At 54.5% G+C, this 16683-nt stretch overlaps 2 protein-coding genes across 4 annotated transcripts in view, besides 4 other annotated features; one reads left to right on the forward strand and one right to left on the reverse strand.

Moving 5' to 3' along the window:
* SYMPK (symplekin scaffold protein) overlaps positions 1-243 on the reverse strand; it is a 47738-nt gene extending 47495 nt beyond the window's left edge. For all 3 annotated transcript variants that reach the window (NM_004819.3, XM_011527354.2, XM_047439485.1), the window contains exon 1: positions 154-243. The gene's annotated coding sequence lies outside the window, so the exon portion shown is untranslated. The remainder of the gene's footprint in view (positions 1-153) is intronic.
* Positions 158-567: an enhancer, noted in NCBI's record as "active region_14824". NCBI's record gives its function as "activates an Ori minimal core promoter by ATAC-STARR-seq in GM12878 lymphoblastoid cells {active_cell/tissue: GM12878}" and the evidence as "EXISTENCE:reporter gene assay evidence [ECO:0000049][PMID:35858748]".
* Positions 1208-1617: a silencer, noted in NCBI's record as "silent region_10801". NCBI's record gives its function as "represses an Ori minimal core promoter by ATAC-STARR-seq in GM12878 lymphoblastoid cells {active_cell/tissue: GM12878}" and the evidence as "EXISTENCE:reporter gene assay evidence [ECO:0000049][PMID:35858748]".
* On the forward strand, positions 1422-10893 carry FOXA3 (forkhead box A3). The gene is made up of 2 exons (NM_004497.3): positions 1422-1621; positions 9171-10893. The coding sequence occupies exons 1-2, from the start codon at positions 1553-1555 to the stop codon at positions 10152-10154; spliced, it is 1053 nt and encodes a 350-aa protein (NP_004488.2). The 5' UTR covers positions 1422-1552; the 3' UTR covers positions 10155-10893.
* Positions 10962-11106: an enhancer, noted in NCBI's record as "145 bp enhancer 173 fragment used in the MPRA reporter construct; PK_construct_1765". NCBI's record gives its function as "activates an SV40 promoter by MPRA in HepG2 cells {active_cell/tissue: HepG2}" and the evidence as "EXISTENCE:reporter gene assay evidence [ECO:0000049][PMID:23512712]".
* Positions 11027-11040: a transcriptional cis regulatory region, noted in NCBI's record as "HNF4 motif; enhancer activity is reduced when this motif is scrambled". NCBI's record gives its function as "necessary for full MPRA enhancer 173 activity {active_cell/tissue: HepG2}" and the evidence as "EXISTENCE:site-directed mutagenesis evidence [ECO:0005528][PMID:23512712]".

Here is a 16683-nt window from a genome sequence, read left to right on the forward strand (position 1 = left end):
GAGCCAAGGAAGGGTCCTGAGCAAGGGAAGAAACATGGGTCGCGAAAGCCACTGTTCCCCTCTCCCCACGGCGATGCCCTCCCCGCCCGAGCCCCTGCTTCTTTAGGAGCCTCCTCCTTTCGTCTCCGGGCCCAAACGCCGCCTCCCGCTCACCGCAGCTCTGGCCTCCGTTCCCCTCGCGCCCCCTCAGCAGTGCCTCTTCCTACACTCCGCCGCCGCCGCCGCCGCCATCTTCCGTTCGTCGCCGGGAACGGTGCGCACGCGCCACACACCCAGGGCCGCCGGGAAATGGAGTCCAGAGCACAGCCCGACCCCGCCCATGCCTCGTCCCGTGCGAGCGGCATTCTGCCCGCCTCCATACTACGGCGAGCAGACCCTTCATTTCCGGCTCTGGGTCCGGCTAGGCCTTCTGGGAAATGTAGTCCCTTCGGAGGCACCGGGCGGAAAGGGAGCTAGAGCATTCTGGGAAATGGAGTTCTCAGTGGTGCTGAGTCCCTGGACGGCTGGCTGGTCTTGGAGAGTGCGGAGTTCGGGCAGCGAAGCTCCTGGGTCTTGGAGGGGAGGTGGTCTGTTGCCCTAGTGGGGTCTGCGGAGAGGCCCCGATCCCCTCCATCTTTGTTCTTGACCCTTTCAACAGTCTGAAGCATTTCTTTTTCTTTTCTTTTCTTTCTTTCTTTTTTTTTGGAAACGGAGTCCCGCTCTCTCTCCCAGGCTGGACTGCAGTGGCGCGATCTCGGCTCACTGCAACCTCCGCTTCCTAGGTTCAAACGATTCTCCTGCCTCAGCCTCCCGAATAGCTGGGATAACAGGCACGCACCATCACGCCTAGCTAGTTGTTGTATTTTTAATAGAGATGGGGTTTCACCCTGTTGGCCAGGCTGGTCTCAAACTCCTGACCTCAAGTGATTCGTCCGCCCGCCTCGGCCTCCTGCAGTGCTGGAATTACAGGCGTGAGCCACCGCGCCCGGCCAAGTTAAGCATTTCTAGCCGTCGGAAGCCTCAGTCTTCCTGTCTGTCCAATGGGGATGTGATTTCGGGGACCTTTTACGGGTCCTTGTAGTCGCATAGTGGCCCTAGCGTTCTGATTCCCCTTTCTTCCGCCACGGTCATGCAGGGCTCTGGCTCTTCGTCCTCTCCTGCCGAGATGATGAAGCCCCCTGAGGTAGAAAGGCTCCAGAGTTCTGACCTCGGGGCCCTTGGTATCTGCAGCGTCGCTGCGGGCAGCTCCCTCACTCCTGAATCACCCCCAGCTGTCGCGTCCTGGGGCTGCGGCCCCCGGCGCCTGAGGTCTGTCTCCTGGCGATCCCGCAGGGGGCGCCCCAGTCCGAGCGCGCCGCCCTCGGGGAGGCGGGAGGGGAGCCCGGGGCGGGCGAGGGCGGGGGTGTCCCGGCTATAAAGCGTGGCCGCCTCCCGCGGCGCTCGGGACAGCCGTACCCCGGGCGGTCGGACGGGCGGGCGCCGGTGGGAGCTCGGGCCGTGCCCGCTGAGAGATCCAGAGCGCTCCGTTCCCCCGGGGCCGGAGCGGGGGCGGGTGGGGGCGTAAGCCCGGGGGATGCTGGGCTCAGTGAAGATGGAGGCCCATGACCTGGCCGAGTGGAGCTACTACCCGGAGGCGGGCGAGGTGTGTCCTCGGGGATGGCGGAGCGGGAAGTTGGGGGCAGGTATCGGGGTGTGGGCTCACATGGAGCAGGGACTGGTTGTGGGTTCAAATGGAGGCAAAGGCGTCTACTTGGGCAGCTGAGGAACTGGGAACACGGAGACCAGGTGTGGAAGTCGGGGACCGGGGACGAGGCATGGATGGGAGCGCTGTTTGGGCAGCCTCGCCGCGGCCAGGGCTTAAAAATGGAAGTCAGGAAAATTTAGCCAAGGGTCGGGTCACACCTTAAACTTGGGAGCCGGGTGTTGGAGCCCCAAAAAGCAAGGGATTTATATGTACAAACCAAAGATAGGAATCAGAGTTCCAGGGTAGGGGACAGACTAGGGGGTTTCAGGATGTGAGGTTCAAAGTTGGAGGGAAAGAAAGACTAAAAGATGGAGGAGGAGTCACCATTAAGGGGAAGACTGAGGTGGGAGCTCAGGGCCAGCACACAGTGTTAAAGAACCGGGGTTCGGGGCTAAGGATCAGCTGGTAATCTAAGGTAGGGTCAGACATAGGGATTGGTGCTCAGGGGTCAGAGATGGGGGTGCTCAGAGATGAAGCTTCGTTTTTGGAGTCTGAAATAACAGGTGGCTTAGAGTTGGGCATCTGGGAGCAGAAGATGTAGCCATCAGCATTGGCAGGAGAGGGGCCGATCTCCACCCCCCCATCCCTACCCATGACCCTCCGCAGGGACTCCCCAAGTCGGAAGATGGAGAGTTTTAGATTGTGCACCTTCCCCTGCTCCCCGCCAGTCCAGCAACCTCCAGCTATTGCTAAAATTCCCATCCAGTCTCACCTCAGACAAGGCTTCCCTGGAGTGGGGGGTGGCGGCATATTCTAATCCCCTCACCTGGACAGACAGAAAGTCCTTCCTCAAGTCTGACCCCCATTCGTCTTGCTGCAACGACCCCTACACCTTAGCTACCTCACTCTGTAATCAACGTTGTGAGGTTGTTGGGGCTGGGGGTTGGGTTCTTGGTCTGAGAATTATGGGGGTCTGGACACTTGGACTTCTAACCTGGAAGGGGACTGTGGGCTTGAGGTGGGGTGTGGGGCAGGAATGGCTAGGTTCTCCAAGGAGTCAAGATCTGGTGACTGCGGGGGCCCCAGTGTGCCTGAGTCTTGGGTCTGGGGCTCGAAACTGTAGGGTGGGACTCCTGGATCCCCAGGCCTTCAGGGCTGGGCAAGGTGCCTGGGAAGGGCCAGTCCTGGGTTTGGGGAGGTGTGAGGTGCACGTGGGGTGGGGCAGGGCCAACAGGGAAAGGGACTGGGAGTGTTGAGAGGTGGAGGCAGGGTGGCTGGAGGTATCAGTTGTGAGATGCGGAAGGCAGAGACCCAGGTGGGAAATGGAGGGTTCCAGGTAGTGGGGGTGATCCCAGCTGGACCTCTGCAGAACTCAGTCTGGGGACCTGATTTAAGGGAACCACCTACAGACCAATTGTACAAACCAACTACAGTTGTTTTGGGGGCACATCTTAAGTAAATGATGGGGGTCTAGGCAGGAGGAGTTGATATTTGGGGCACAGTCTGAATAGATCCAAGTTTAGGGGACAATTTGTATGGAAATTGTGTCAGAAATTGAAGGAAAGCCGGCACAGTGGCTCACACTTGTAATCCCAGCACTTTGGGAGGTCGAAGTGGGAGGATCTCTTGAGCCCAGGAGTTTGAGGCCAGCCTGGGCAACATAGGGAGACCTTGTCTTTAAAAAAAAAATTTTTTTTTAATTAGTCAGGCATGCCTGTAGTCTAAGCTACTTGGTTGGGAGGCTGAGGTGGGAGGATCACTTGAGGCTGGGAGTTCGAGCTGCCGGGAGCTGTGATCGTATCACGGCACTCCAGCCTGGGTGACAGAATGAGACCCTATCTCAAAAAATAATAATAGTAGAGGGACAGTCTGGAGGTAATCAGCATTTCAGGGCATATTTTGGGAGAGTCAGTATTTGGAGGAATGGAAATGGTTGGGTGATACTGTCTGAGGCTCTCCCCAGCCTTCCCATCAGATAAGCCCACCTCTTCCCCTTGGGTCAGAACAATGGGGAGAGAAATACCTACACTCAGCCAGCAACTGAGAGCTGAGAGGGTCCCCAAACCACTTCTTGCCCATAGCACCCTCCCGCTTGGGGTGACGTTAACACTCAGGGCAGCTTGCTGTCTGGAAAGAACTTGGAAAGTTACCATCCTGGGATATCCCTGTTGGCCTCAGGTTCTTGCAGATCAGCTGGTCCAGCTGCTCCCCTGTTTTAGAGGTGGTTAACTCTGAAGCCCCGCACGCAGAACACTGGGGTCCTGGGTTGGGTCTGGGACTAGAAACTTGGCTTCTGGCTTCACACTGCCTTCCTCTGCTCCCTGTCACACCCTTCTCCAGAGACAATAAGGAAATGAAAGAGGAGAAATTCCAGTCTCCTGGTGTGGGGGTGCGGGTCCCCCAAGGGCTTCCCCCCAATCTCAGCCCCACCCTGTCAGGGGAGATCCGGCTCAGACCCGGACACCAGGGGTTCATCCCAGCCCCGGGGCGTGGGAAAGCCTAGGGTGGATTAGGGCAGCTGGAGTGCTTGAGGTCGGACCTCAAGGAGGACTTCCGGGTGGGTGGGGAGCCAGAAAGGAGGGCCCTGGGGTCCCTGTCTGTCTTACTCTGCAATACCAGAGAGCCTGACTGGGTTGCAGAAATGGGGGGTGGAGGTATAGGGGGATTTGGAAACTCTGTGGACCCCTCTAATCCATCACCTTCTCACCTCATCCCTTTTCTTTTTCTGGGGAGGGGACCCGAAGCCACCAACCAGCGGGAGAGCCTGCATGGGGGAAGGGAGTAACTGTGGCTGCAATTTCACTGTAAGACTTGGGGTGAGGGGGAATGGATTTGTTGAAGGGAGGGAGATAGATAGATAGATAGATAGATAGATAGATAGATAGATAGATGCATGGATGGATGGATAGATAGATTGATAGGAAGATGGTGGCTCGTCATGGTAGCTCATGACTGTAATCCCAGCACTTTGGGAGGCCGAAGAGGGTGGATCACTTGAGGTCAGGAGTTCAAGACCAGGCTGGCCAACATGGTGAAACCCCATCTCTACTAAAAATACAAAACTTAGCTGGGCATGGTGGTGCATGCCTATAATCCCAGTTACTTGGGAGGCTGAGACAGGAGAATTGCTTGAACCCAGGAGGCGGAGGTTGCAGTGAGCCGAGATGGAGCCACTGCACTCCAGCCTGGGTGACAGAGTGAGACTCTATCTCAAAAAAAAAAAAAAAAAAAGACAAGAAGATGGGCTGAAGGAGGAAGAAAGGTGGGAGTTGGGGTTGGGAGGGGAGTGGGGTAGAGTCGGATAGTGAGAGAGAGTGCCCAGGAAGGGAGAAAGAGATGGAAGGATGGAGAGAGAGACAGGGGCCGAGATGGAGGGGAAAGAAAGATGGGAGAGGACTCGGGAGGGGTCGAGGGTGGGCAGGAAGAGCAAAAGAGGTTAGGGTGGAGACAGAAGGGAAAACAATGCGGGGGTGGGGAGGGAGATGGGAGAGGGGAATATGGGTACTAGTACTGAGACGGGTAACACAACGGCAAAAATAGCCAACAGAGATTCAAAGAGACATGATGAAAGAGTTCCTTGGAGAGACATGAAAAGGAAAGAGCAGAGGATTTCTCGACTGGAACTCAGACTTAGGGTTGAGTTGGTTGCCTCCACTCTCTGATTCCCTAAGCCACCCTGGCCAGACTCGTTTCTCCGGACCTTGTGACCTGCAGAAGCTTACAGTGGTAGGGCCAGACATGGTGGCTCATGGCTATAATCCCAACACTTTGGGAGGCCGAGGCAGGAGGATCACCTGAGGTCAGGAGTTCGAGACTAGCCTGACCAACATGGTGAAACCCTGTCTTTACTAAAAATACAAAAACTAGCTGAGTGTTGTGGTGCGTGCCCGTAATCCCAGCTGCTCGGGAGGCTGAGGCAGGAGAATCGCTTGAACCTGGGAGGCAGAAGTTGCAGTGAGCTGAGATTGCACCACTGCACTCCAGCCTGGGCGATACAGTGAGACTCTCTTAAAAAAAAAAAAAAAAAAAAGCTTACAGTGGCAGGAGACTAGGCGGTATCCAGTTAACTCACATTTGGTGGCTCTAGCCAGTGCTGTATATAGCAGCATTCCCCCACCCACGCAGTGCCATGAGACCCCAGGCCTCGGAGGAGGCAGTGGGGAAAGGTCCAGGTGGAGAATGGGGCAGAGAGGATGGGAGACAGTGGTTGAGAAGGGATAAGTAGATACAAAGAAAGAAACAACCTTCCAGCATGCCTATGTTTTCCTGGCGTGTTCTGTTCACTGTTGTGTTCCTGCTAGACTGTTGGCACCACGAGGGCAGGCATTTCTGTCTGTCTTAGTCACTGCTTTTATTTTATTTTATGATTATTATTTTTTGAGATGGAGTCTTGCTCTGTTGCCCAGGCTGGAGGCAGTGGCACGATCTTGGCTCACCACAACCTCTGCCTCCTGGGTTCAAGCAATTCTCCTGCCTCAGCCTCCCTAGTAGCTGGGATTGCAGGCATGTGCCACCATGCCCGGCTAATTTTGTATTTTTAGTGGAGACGGGGTTTCTCCCTGTTGGTCAGGCTGGTCTCGAACTCCCGACCTCAAGCGATCCGCACCCCCACCCCCCCCACCTCAGCCTCCCAAAGTGCTGGGATTACAGGCGTGAGCCACCGCAACTGGCCTAGTCACTGCGTTTATAGCGTGACCCGGAACAGGTCTGGAGCCAGACTGCCTGGTTGCAGAATCCCAGTTCTGCCCCCATTCTTGCTGTGTGACCCCAGCAACCTCTCTGGGCCTCAGCTAGCTCAGCTGTAAAATGGGCATCATCATAACACCTCCTCCCATAGTATGGTTGTCAAGATTAAAGGAGACCATTCTTGTGAAGTGCTTGGAGCAGCTAACTGATAAATATTGGTTGAATGAATGAAAGAATATACAGAGGGTTACTTAGGAGGCACTGCAAGATCTACCGTGTTCCATTGACCTAGGATGCACCTTTTCCCCCCATTTGAACATTTCCAAAAATGGGATGCATTTTACAGTCAACAGTGTCCTATGATTTTAACTGAGTGTTTTTCCCATTTGTATTAATATATAAAGTAATGCTGCAGCTTCCAGAGAAGTCTTAGATTTGAAGATATATAGTAAATGGATAATATTATTAGGTTGAAAAGTGATTTCTGATATTCAAACACTTTTATGTATAAATACAGTAATTTATTTTTATTTATTTATTTTTTTTTTTTGAGACAGAGTCTTGCTCTGTCGCCCAGGCTGGAGGGCAGTGGTGCAATCTCGGCTCACTGCAACCTCCACCTTCTGGGTGCAAGCAATTCTCCTGCCTCAGCCTCCTGAATAGCTGGGACTACAGGCGCCCGCCACCATACCTGGCTATTTTTTGTGTTTTTAGTAGAGACAGGGTTTTGCCATGTTGGCCAGGCTGGTCTCGAACTCCTGACCTCAAGTGATCCACCTGCCTCGGCCTCCCAAAGTGCTGGGATTACAGGTGTGAGCCACTGTGCCCAGCCTAAATGCAGTAATTTTATAAGCTAAAAGATTGAAGAGAGCTACACATATATGTTAGATATGTTAGATTATTACAGAGTTATAATAACTTTTTTTTTTTTTTTTTGAGACAGAATCTCACTGTCGCCCAGGCTGGAGTGCAGTGGCATGATCTCAGCTCACTGCAAGCTCCACCTTCCGGGTTCACGCCATTCTCCTGCCTCAGCCTCCCAAGTAGCTGGGACTACAGGCGTTCGCCACCACACCCGGCTAATTTTGTTTTTGTATTTTTAGTAGAGACAGGGTTTCACCGTGTTAGCCAAGATGGTCTCGATCTCCTGACCTTGTGATCCACCTGCCTCGGCCTCCCAAAGTGCTGGGATTACAGGTGTGAGCCACCGTGCCCGGCCTATAATAACTCTTTATGATTACTAAAATTGAGAACTGCTGATTTACCTAATAAACCAGCAGTTATTAAATGTTTTGGTCTCAGGACCACCCCCCTTCTTTTTTTTTTTTTTTTGAGATGGAGTCTTGCTCTGTTGTCCTGGCTGGAGTGTGCAGTGGCATGATCTCAGCTCACCGCAGCCTCAGACTCCTGGGCTCAAGCGATCCTCCTGCCTCAACCTCCCGAGTAGCTGGGATTACAGTCCTGTGCCACGATGCCGGCTGATTTTTGTATTTTTGGTAGATAACAGGGTTTTGCCACGTTGCCAGGCTGGTCTTGAACTTCTGACCTCAAGTGATTCACCCTCCTTGGCTCCCAAAGTTCTGGGATTACTTTGGGAGGCTGAGGCAGGAGGATTACTCGAGGCCAGGAGTTTGAAAACAGCCTGGGCAACATGGTGAATCCCCGTCTCTACTAAAAATACAAAAAAATTAGCTGGGTGTGCGGTGCATGCCTATAATCCCAGCTACTTGGGAGGCTGAGGCAGGAGGATCACTTGAGCCCCAGAGTTTGAGGCTACAGTGAGCTGCGATTGCACCACTGCACTTCAGCCTGAGTGACAGAGTGAGACCCTGTAGAAAAAAAAAATTATTTAGGAGTCCAAACAGTTTCTGTTGATGTGGGTTATGTCTATCTACGTTTACAGTATTTACAATTAAAACTGAGAAATATTACAAACATGTATTCATTTAAAAATAGCAATCATTTGTTAGTGTAAAAGATTTTTATTAAAAAAACCAAATTTCAAAAAATTTAGTCAAAAGAGCGACACTGTTTTTTTCCATTTTTGCAAATCAAGTCTGGCCCAGTGGAAGACAGCTGGATTCTCCTGGTTGCTTCTTCATTCTCTCTGTTGGAATATCAACACCCCCTGGAAAACTCCACTGTACACTTCATGAGAAAGAGAGTGAAAAGGGCTAATAATAACTTAGGATTGCGGGTGTGGTGGCTCATGCCTGTAATCTCAGCACTTTGGGAGGCCGAGGCGGGCAGATCACGAGGTCAGGAGTTCAAGACCAGCCCGGCCAACATGGAGAAACCCTGTCTCTACTAAAAATACAAAAAAAAAAAAAAAAAAGCTGGCGTGGTGGCACACACCTGTAATCCCAGCTGCTCTGGAGGCTGATGCAGGAGAATTGGTTGAGCCCAGGAGGCGGAGGTTGCATTGAGGTGAGATCACGCCACTGCACTCCAGCCTGGGCGACAGAGCAAGACTCTGCCTCGAAAAAAAAAATAGCATTATTTTGAAAATAGTTTTGACTTCGTGGACATCCTCAAAGGGTTTCAGAGACTGCCCTGGGAGTCCCGAACCCTGGAGAATCACTTAAAGGATGATGTTGAGTGTATGGGAGCATGGTGGGTGGGAAAGCAGGGGGCAGAAAGGGCGTGTCCAGGGAGTGAGGAGAGACCTTGAGAGACTGCTTTCTACAGATAGAGGTAATGATGGAAGGGATTTGTAGAGAAGGCAAGATGGACAGACAGACGGACACTCAGTGGGTCCTGGGATCCTTTGCTGACCAGCAGAGTGGAGCCCCACTGACCCCTCCTTTCATCTTTCCCCTAGGTCTACTCGCCGGTGACCCCAGTGCCCACCATGGCCCCCCTCAACTCCTACATGACCCTGAATCCTCTAAGCTCTCCCTATCCCCCTGGGGGGCTCCCTGCCTCCCCACTGCCCTCAGGACCCCTGGCACCCCCAGCACCTGCAGCCCCCCTGGGGCCCACTTTCCCAGGCCTGGGTGTCAGCGGTGGCAGCAGCAGCTCCGGGTACGGGGCCCCGGGTCCTGGGCTGGTGCACGGGAAGGAGATGCCGAAGGGGTATCGGCGGCCCCTGGCACACGCCAAGCCACCGTATTCCTATATCTCACTCATCACCATGGCCATCCAGCAGGCGCCGGGCAAGATGCTGACCTTGAGTGAAATCTACCAGTGGATCATGGACCTCTTCCCTTACTACCGGGAGAATCAGCAGCGCTGGCAGAACTCCATTCGCCACTCGCTGTCTTTCAACGACTGCTTCGTCAAGGTGGCGCGTTCCCCAGACAAGCCTGGCAAGGGCTCCTACTGGGCCCTACACCCCAGCTCAGGGAACATGTTTGAGAATGGCTGCTACCTGCGCCGCCAGAAACGCTTCAAGCTGGAGGAGAAGGTGAAAAAAGGGGGCAGCGGGGCTGCCACCACCACCAGGAACGGGACAGGGTCTGCTGCCTCGACCACCACCCCCGCGGCCACAGTCACCTCCCCGCCCCAGCCCCCGCCTCCAGCCCCTGAGCCTGAGGCCCAGGGCGGGGAAGATGTGGGGGCTCTGGACTGTGGCTCACCCGCTTCCTCCACACCCTATTTCACTGGCCTGGAGCTCCCAGGGGAGCTGAAGCTGGACGCGCCCTACAACTTCAACCACCCTTTCTCCATCAACAACCTAATGTCAGAACAGACACCAGCACCTCCCAAACTGGACGTGGGGTTTGGGGGCTACGGGGCTGAAGGTGGGGAGCCTGGAGTCTACTACCAGGGCCTCTATTCCCGCTCTTTGCTTAATGCATCCTAGCAGGGGTTGGGAACATGGTGGTGGGTATGGCTGGAGCTCACACCACGAAGCTCTTGGGGCCTGATCCTTCTGGTGACACTTCACTTGTCCCATTGGTTAACATCTGGGTGGGTCTATTACTTACTGTGATGACTGCTGTCTCAGTGGGCATGGTGTTGATCCACGGGGTACTGTGATAACCACCATGGATACATTTTGGTGGCCCACTGGGTACTGTGAGGACTGCTACATTGATGGATGTTATTGGCTAATCCACTGCATGGTTTGATGGCCACCATCTCGGTTGGCCCTTTGGGTGTGATGGTGATAGCATTTCAGTGACATCTTCTTTGGCCCCCCCCATTAGGTGCTGTGCCCACTTCTTTTTTGGTGTACTTGGCACAGTAGGTGCCAAGTTGGCCACCATTCTGTGTAACACCTTTTTTGGCCCATTGGGTGCTTTGATGGACATCATACTGGGTAGGTGACAACGTCAGTGGGCCACCATGTGCCATGATGGCTGCTGCAGCCCCGTGTTGGCCATGTCGTCACCATTCTCTCTGGCATGGGTTGGGTAGGGGATGGAGGTGAGAATACTCCTTGGTTTTCTCTGAAGCCCACCCTTTCCCCCAACTCTGGTCCAGGAGAAACCAGAAAAGGCTGGTTAGGGTGTGGGGAATTTCTACTGAAGTCTGATTCTTTCCCGGGAAGCGGGGTACTGGCTGTGTTTAATCATTAAAGGTACCGTGTCCGCCTCTTACTGAATGTCTCTTTTCCTTGGCCAGTGGGCCCTGTGGGGCTTGAACACCTGAATTTCTGCTCCTCTGTCCCTTCTGCTTCCTGCCCCTAAGAGCTGGCTGCCTCTGGGGGAGGAGTTGGGGGAGGCATCGACCTGACCTTTGGCTCTTTGCTGTCCCTGACCCCAAGGACAGTTTGCTCACAGATAGCAGCCCCCGCAGCAGTGGGGCCAGAGCAGCAGGGGGAGGTGGCTCTGCAGTGACCAAGGCCATCTCCCCACCCCCACTTCTCAGACATACACACAGACCTCTACCTCTGAGGCTCTGCAAGCCTAATGGCCGAATAATCTTTGGCTAAGCTGGGGAGGAGGAAAAAGGACAGATGAGGTGTCAATTCAATGACTGGAGATCGTGCACATGTTGGAGTTTATCTGCGTGTGTGTGTGTGTGTGTGTGTGTGTGTGTGTGTCCTCTGTGTGTCATAGGATAGCACTATGCCTATTGGGGTCCTCATGGTCTACCGCAGGGTGTTGTCTGTTGTCAGTATCCCTTGATTGTGTAGGTTTTTGTGTCTGTTCATACCCTGGGTATATGCTTACTTGCCCTGGGTGGCTGGGAATATCAGACTCTTGTGTATGTTTTTTTTTGTTTTTTTGAGACAGGGTCTCGCTCTGTTGCCCAGGCTGGAGTGTGTGGCACAATCTTGGCTCACGGCAACCTCCACCTCCTGGGTTCAAGTAATTCTCTTGCCTCAGCCTCCTGAGTAGCTAGGATTACAGGTGCCCGCCACGACACCTGGCTAATTTTTGTATTTTTAGTAGAGACAGGGTTTCACCATGTTGACCAAGCTGGTCTCAAATTCCTGACCTCAAGTGATCCGCCCACCTCAGGCTCCCAAAGTGCTGGGTTTACAGGCGTGAGCCACTGTGCCCTGCCTTTTGTGTATGTCTTTATTGTGTTGTGTGTGTGGTTCTCTGTGTACACTTATCCCTGGGTCTCTCTGGGTCTCACACTGTGTTACGTGTGTGTCTATATGCCATTCTCTACCTAACTCACTGCCTCAGAGAGTGCGTGTGTGGAACGAGATGCATATGGCAGGGCTGGCTGTTCTTGTGTGTTCTATGTGTGTCTCTGTGAGTCCGTGTATGTCTGCATGCTTAAAAGAAAACATGTAGTCTGGGTGTGGCGGCTTATGCCTGTAACCCCAGCACTTTGGGAGGTCGAGGTGGGCGGATCACTTGAGGTCAGGAGTTCGAGACCAGCCTGGCCAACATGGCGAAGTTGGCCTAAAAATACTCTATTAAAACACAATAATTAAGCCGGGCATGGTGGCTCACACCTGTAGTCCCAGCTACTCAGGAGGCTGAGGCAGGAGAATTGCTTGAACCCAGGAGGCAGAGGTTGCAATGAGCCGAAGGTTGCAGTGAGCCGAGATTGCACTGCTGCACTCCAGCCTGGGCGACAGAGCAAGACTGTCTCAAAGAAAAAAAAAAAAAGAAGAAAGCATGTGTGTTTGTGTGTGTCTGGTGGCTACCTTTGCTGTGTACTTGTCACTGTTGCATTTGCATCTGAACGTGTGTGGAGAGTAGGCTGGCCTGGTGTCTGTCACTTTTGCAGGAGAGTGTGCGGGGAAGGAACCGTGTCCTCCTTCAGCCACTGTGAGCCTCTGGGTTTGGGATCTGTGTTTCTGTCCCCCAGGTCTCTCCTGTGACTCTGAGTCTGCCTGTCTGTTGCTCAGATTGGCTGTCCCAGAAACACAACTGTGCACCTCCCACCTCTCCTTTCAGAATGGAAACTGAGGCCCAGATGGGATGGGACTGGGCTAAGGTCATTCAGCGGGGCTGGAGTGAGTGGGCAAGGTTGATCTGATTCTGTCTTTTCCTTACCTGTCATCTGCCTTTCCTGGTTGCTGGCTCTCTGGTTGCTCATTCATTTATTCAGTCAGCCAGCCAGCCATTCAGTCATTTGAAGACCAAAGACTTTGTCTAATCCACGTGTGTGTGTGTGTGTGTGTGTGTGTGTGTGTGTGTATGAGCGCACACGTGCATGCATGCACACCAGTGTGACGTGTCTTTCAGTTTCTGTGGGTCCATCTTTTTCCTTGTCTCTTAGTGTCCTTTTTTCCTCTTTTTCTTTCCCTCCCTCCCTTCCTTCCTTCTTCCCTCTTTTCTTTTCTTTTCTTTTTTTTTTTTTTTTTGACAGGGTCTTGCTCTATCACCCATGCTGGAGTGCAGTGGCGCAATCACAGCTCACTGCAGCGTCGACCTCCTGGGCTCAAGCTATCCTCCCTCCTCAGCCTCTCGAGTAGCTAGGACTACAGGTATGCACCCCCACGCCTGGCTAATTTTTTAATGTTTTATAGAGAAGGGGTCTCCCTGTGTTGCCCATGCTATTCTTGAACTCCTGGCCTCAAGCAATCCTCCCGCCTCAGCCTCCCAAAGTGCTGAGATTATAGACATGAGCCACTGCGCCTGACCAGTGTCATTTCTTTCTGTATCAATCTGTCCCTCACCCTCTTTCTGTGCCTTTATCTGTGTTTCTTGGTTTGAGTTGCTGGTGCTGTCTGTGTGTGTCTGTCTCTCCTATGGCTCACCTCATGCTCTCTCTCTCTCTCCCCCCTCGCTCACCCGGCCCCCGCCTTTTCTCTCTACTGCTCTGACTTCCCTCCTCCCTCCACCTGGGTCTCTGGGTTTCTCCCTCCTTCTCTCAGAGTGACTCTTTCCTGGGGTCCGTCTCCCCCCACTCCTTTCCTGGATCTCTGGTCTCTCTTTCTCTGGCCTCCATCCCTCTCCCAGCTCTCTGGGTTTCCGCCTCTACCTGCCACCTCGCAGGCCAGGCCCTCTATTCCTGTCGCTGCGCCCCGCCTTGCCGGCTGCGTGTCACCCCCGCCCCCTGCCGCGCTGGCTCCCCGTCCGTCCCACCAGCCTTGCTGTCCTGGGCAGGCCGGGGAATTCCTCCCGGTTCCTGGAAAAAACAACTGGGGCCGAGAGAAAGGCCCTCAGTCTCCCCAGGCACCCGCCCCCCTCCCTCGGGCCTGGGGGTCTCTCCCGGAGTCGGCCAGCCCGAGGCAGGAAGCCCTGCGGTTTCTGGCTTCTCCCAGGCGGCCTCCGGATCTGGCCCCCGCCCCCCGGCCAACAGCCCAAATATTATTCCGCGGGAGGAGTCGGTGGTGGCGGGAGGAGGCCCAGGCTGAAAGAGGCTTTCAGGGCGGCCAGGCCTGGGGCTTCCTGTCCCCAGGCTCGGGCCTCAGGCCGCCCCAGTGGGGACCTCAGGTGGCCGGAGGGGCGGGGTGTTGTTGTAGGGTCCTCGGGGGAGGGTGGGGCCATCCGTCGGGGTGTCTGGTGGCCACCAGCTCTGCTGGCGTGGGCAGGTGTGACCCCCACCCCAGGGACAGCCGGCTGATGTCCAGCGTGGAAAAGTACCACGGTCAGACATGGGACGCATGGACAGACACGGGACGCCACGAATCAGGGATGTGGGGTGGCCATGGGGACACAGGCGGCCCTGGGCTGTGGGCCTAAGGTGACATGGTCCAGGGGAGGGGCCTGTGGGTTGGAGCAGAGGCCGGGGCAGGGTCGCAGCTGTGGGCAGAGGGCTGTCAGCATTAGGAGGTACCAGATGATGATGATGATGATGGTGATGATGGTGATGATGATAATTAAAAGATCCTAGGGCTTCCCATGAGTCAGGGATTGTGTTAGCACCTTACAGAACTGATGGGCTCCATCTCTCCCGCTCCCCCCAACTTTACTGTTGAATGAAACTGAGGCACAGAGAGGTGAAGTAACTTGCACAGATAATGAGTGGGGTGCTAGGGCATGAACCCAGGCAGTCTGGGCCCAGAGTCAGTGCCTCTAAGCACCCCGCTGTTCTGCAGGATGGGAGGGATAGCGGCAGTGCAGCACAGTCCTGGGGTCCCAAGCCCTCCCTGGCAGGCACCCCCCCTCTCTGCCACAGCCTGCCATATGGCAGGAGGTGGGTTCCCAGAAGCCACATACTCACTGGTGACCAGGCGGTTCACAGCTAGGTAGGACATGTGTGTCTAAGCGGTTTGTCATTGGGCTTTATTCGCGTGTCTTGCTGTCAGCGTCTCAATGTCACTGTGTCTGTGGGCTCGTGTGTTACTCCATGGTGTGTCTCTGTTGAGCGCATGAGTGTGTGTGCCTGGACACCTCTATGTTGGTGTCCATTGCTGGGTTTGTGTTGGTGTCACTGACTGTCTCACCGTGTACACGTGTAGGTGACTGTTCTGTCATTGTCTTCTTTGTGGCTGTCACCATGTTCTCTATGTCTGTTCATCGCTGTGTGCTTTGTCACTATGCCTCTGTGCCTGACAACACATTTGCCTGTCATTGTGTTTTCTGTGAGCATGCATCAGTGTGTCTGTCACCGTGTCTGTGACAGTGTGTCTCTGTGACTGTTTACGTCTCTGTCACTCTGGACCTGTCACTGTGGCTCTGTCTATATCTGTCACTGTGTGTCACCGTGTCTGTCCCTCTATGTGTCACCATCTACCCAGGTGTCACCATGCATGTGTTACTCATCGCCCAGGCCACAGGTGGGTGTGTCGGGCCCACTGGTGCCAGGGCTGTGGCCCAGCCCCTCCCACCCTTGCTGACCGTGGGCCAGGCTGGGCGCCTATTTGCAATCCTGCCCCAGGTAAACACCAAGATCCGGAACCCAAGGGCCACCTCCCTCACCTCTGCTCCTGCCCCTCAGCCTGTTCTGGGCTGGACCAGAGCCCTGCAGACAGTGTGCCCCAGACTGGAAATGGGCCCTGAGCCTCCCCCTAACCCTGGGCACCAGCCTCCCCAAGCCTTCAGCCTCAACTCTCTGTCTGTCTGTCTGCTTCTCTCTCTCTCTCACTGCATGTCGATTTCTCTGTTTCTTTTTGTGCCTGCTTCCTCTCACCTGGGCTTCTCTATGGCTCTGCCTCTCTCTGGAATGACGCTTGTCTTCATTCTGTCACTGTCCCTCTTTCTGTGGCTCTTTCTGTCTCTCTGCAGATAGGTTCCATTTCTCTGGATGTTCAGCTGATGTGTCTCCATTTGAGTCCGCCTGCTTCGTGACACTTGCTTTCTATCTAATGCTGGCACTGTCTCCGTAAGTCTGTTTCTGTCCCACTTTGTAAGTTTCTCCCCCACCTTCTCTCTGTCCACCGTCTCTCTGTCTACTCTGAGCCTCTTAGTCTTGGGCACTATCTCTGTGGGTCTCTGAGTCCCCAGCCCCCACAGGGGCAGACTGCCATGCCTGGACCCTTAGGGGAGTGTGTAGCCCCCAGTCTCCCCCAGCCAGTGTGCTGGTGTGTGTGTGTGTGTGTGTATACACACACACACATATATATAAATGTATATGTGCATATTATTTATATCTGTACCCAGGCAGGAGGGGAAGACACTGGGGCCTTTGTGTAGCCGCTGCCCTCCTGCCCGCCACTCTTCTCCCTTCGTCCCTGCCGCCCGCCCACCTCCACTCCCCCTGCACAGAAAGGTTCCTGTGGGGCCTGCCAGCTTCCTCTGCCTGAGGTGTGAGTGGGCACGCCACGGGTGAGGCAGGCAGGAGGGCCTGGGGGATTTTTCCAGCCCCAGGAAGCTTTCCGGGTGGGGAGGGTTCTGGAAGGAATGGGAGTTCTCAGCAGGGCTGCTGTGGGTCTGTGTGGATCTGCTGTCCCTGAGTGTCCCCGGGCCCTGAGCTGGCCTCTCCCTGGGGGTCTCTGAGCCTGTTCGTCCATCTAGTTGCCATTCTGACGTTTTCTCTGTTGGTTTGGGGTCTCACTCACACATGCACACACAGTCATCGGGCATTTGTGTTGG

This window comes from Homo sapiens, chromosome 19 (genome assembly GCF_000001405.40).
Source record: "Homo sapiens chromosome 19, GRCh38.p14 Primary Assembly".
Classification (NCBI taxonomy): Eukaryota; Metazoa; Chordata; class Mammalia; order Primates; family Hominidae; genus Homo; species Homo sapiens.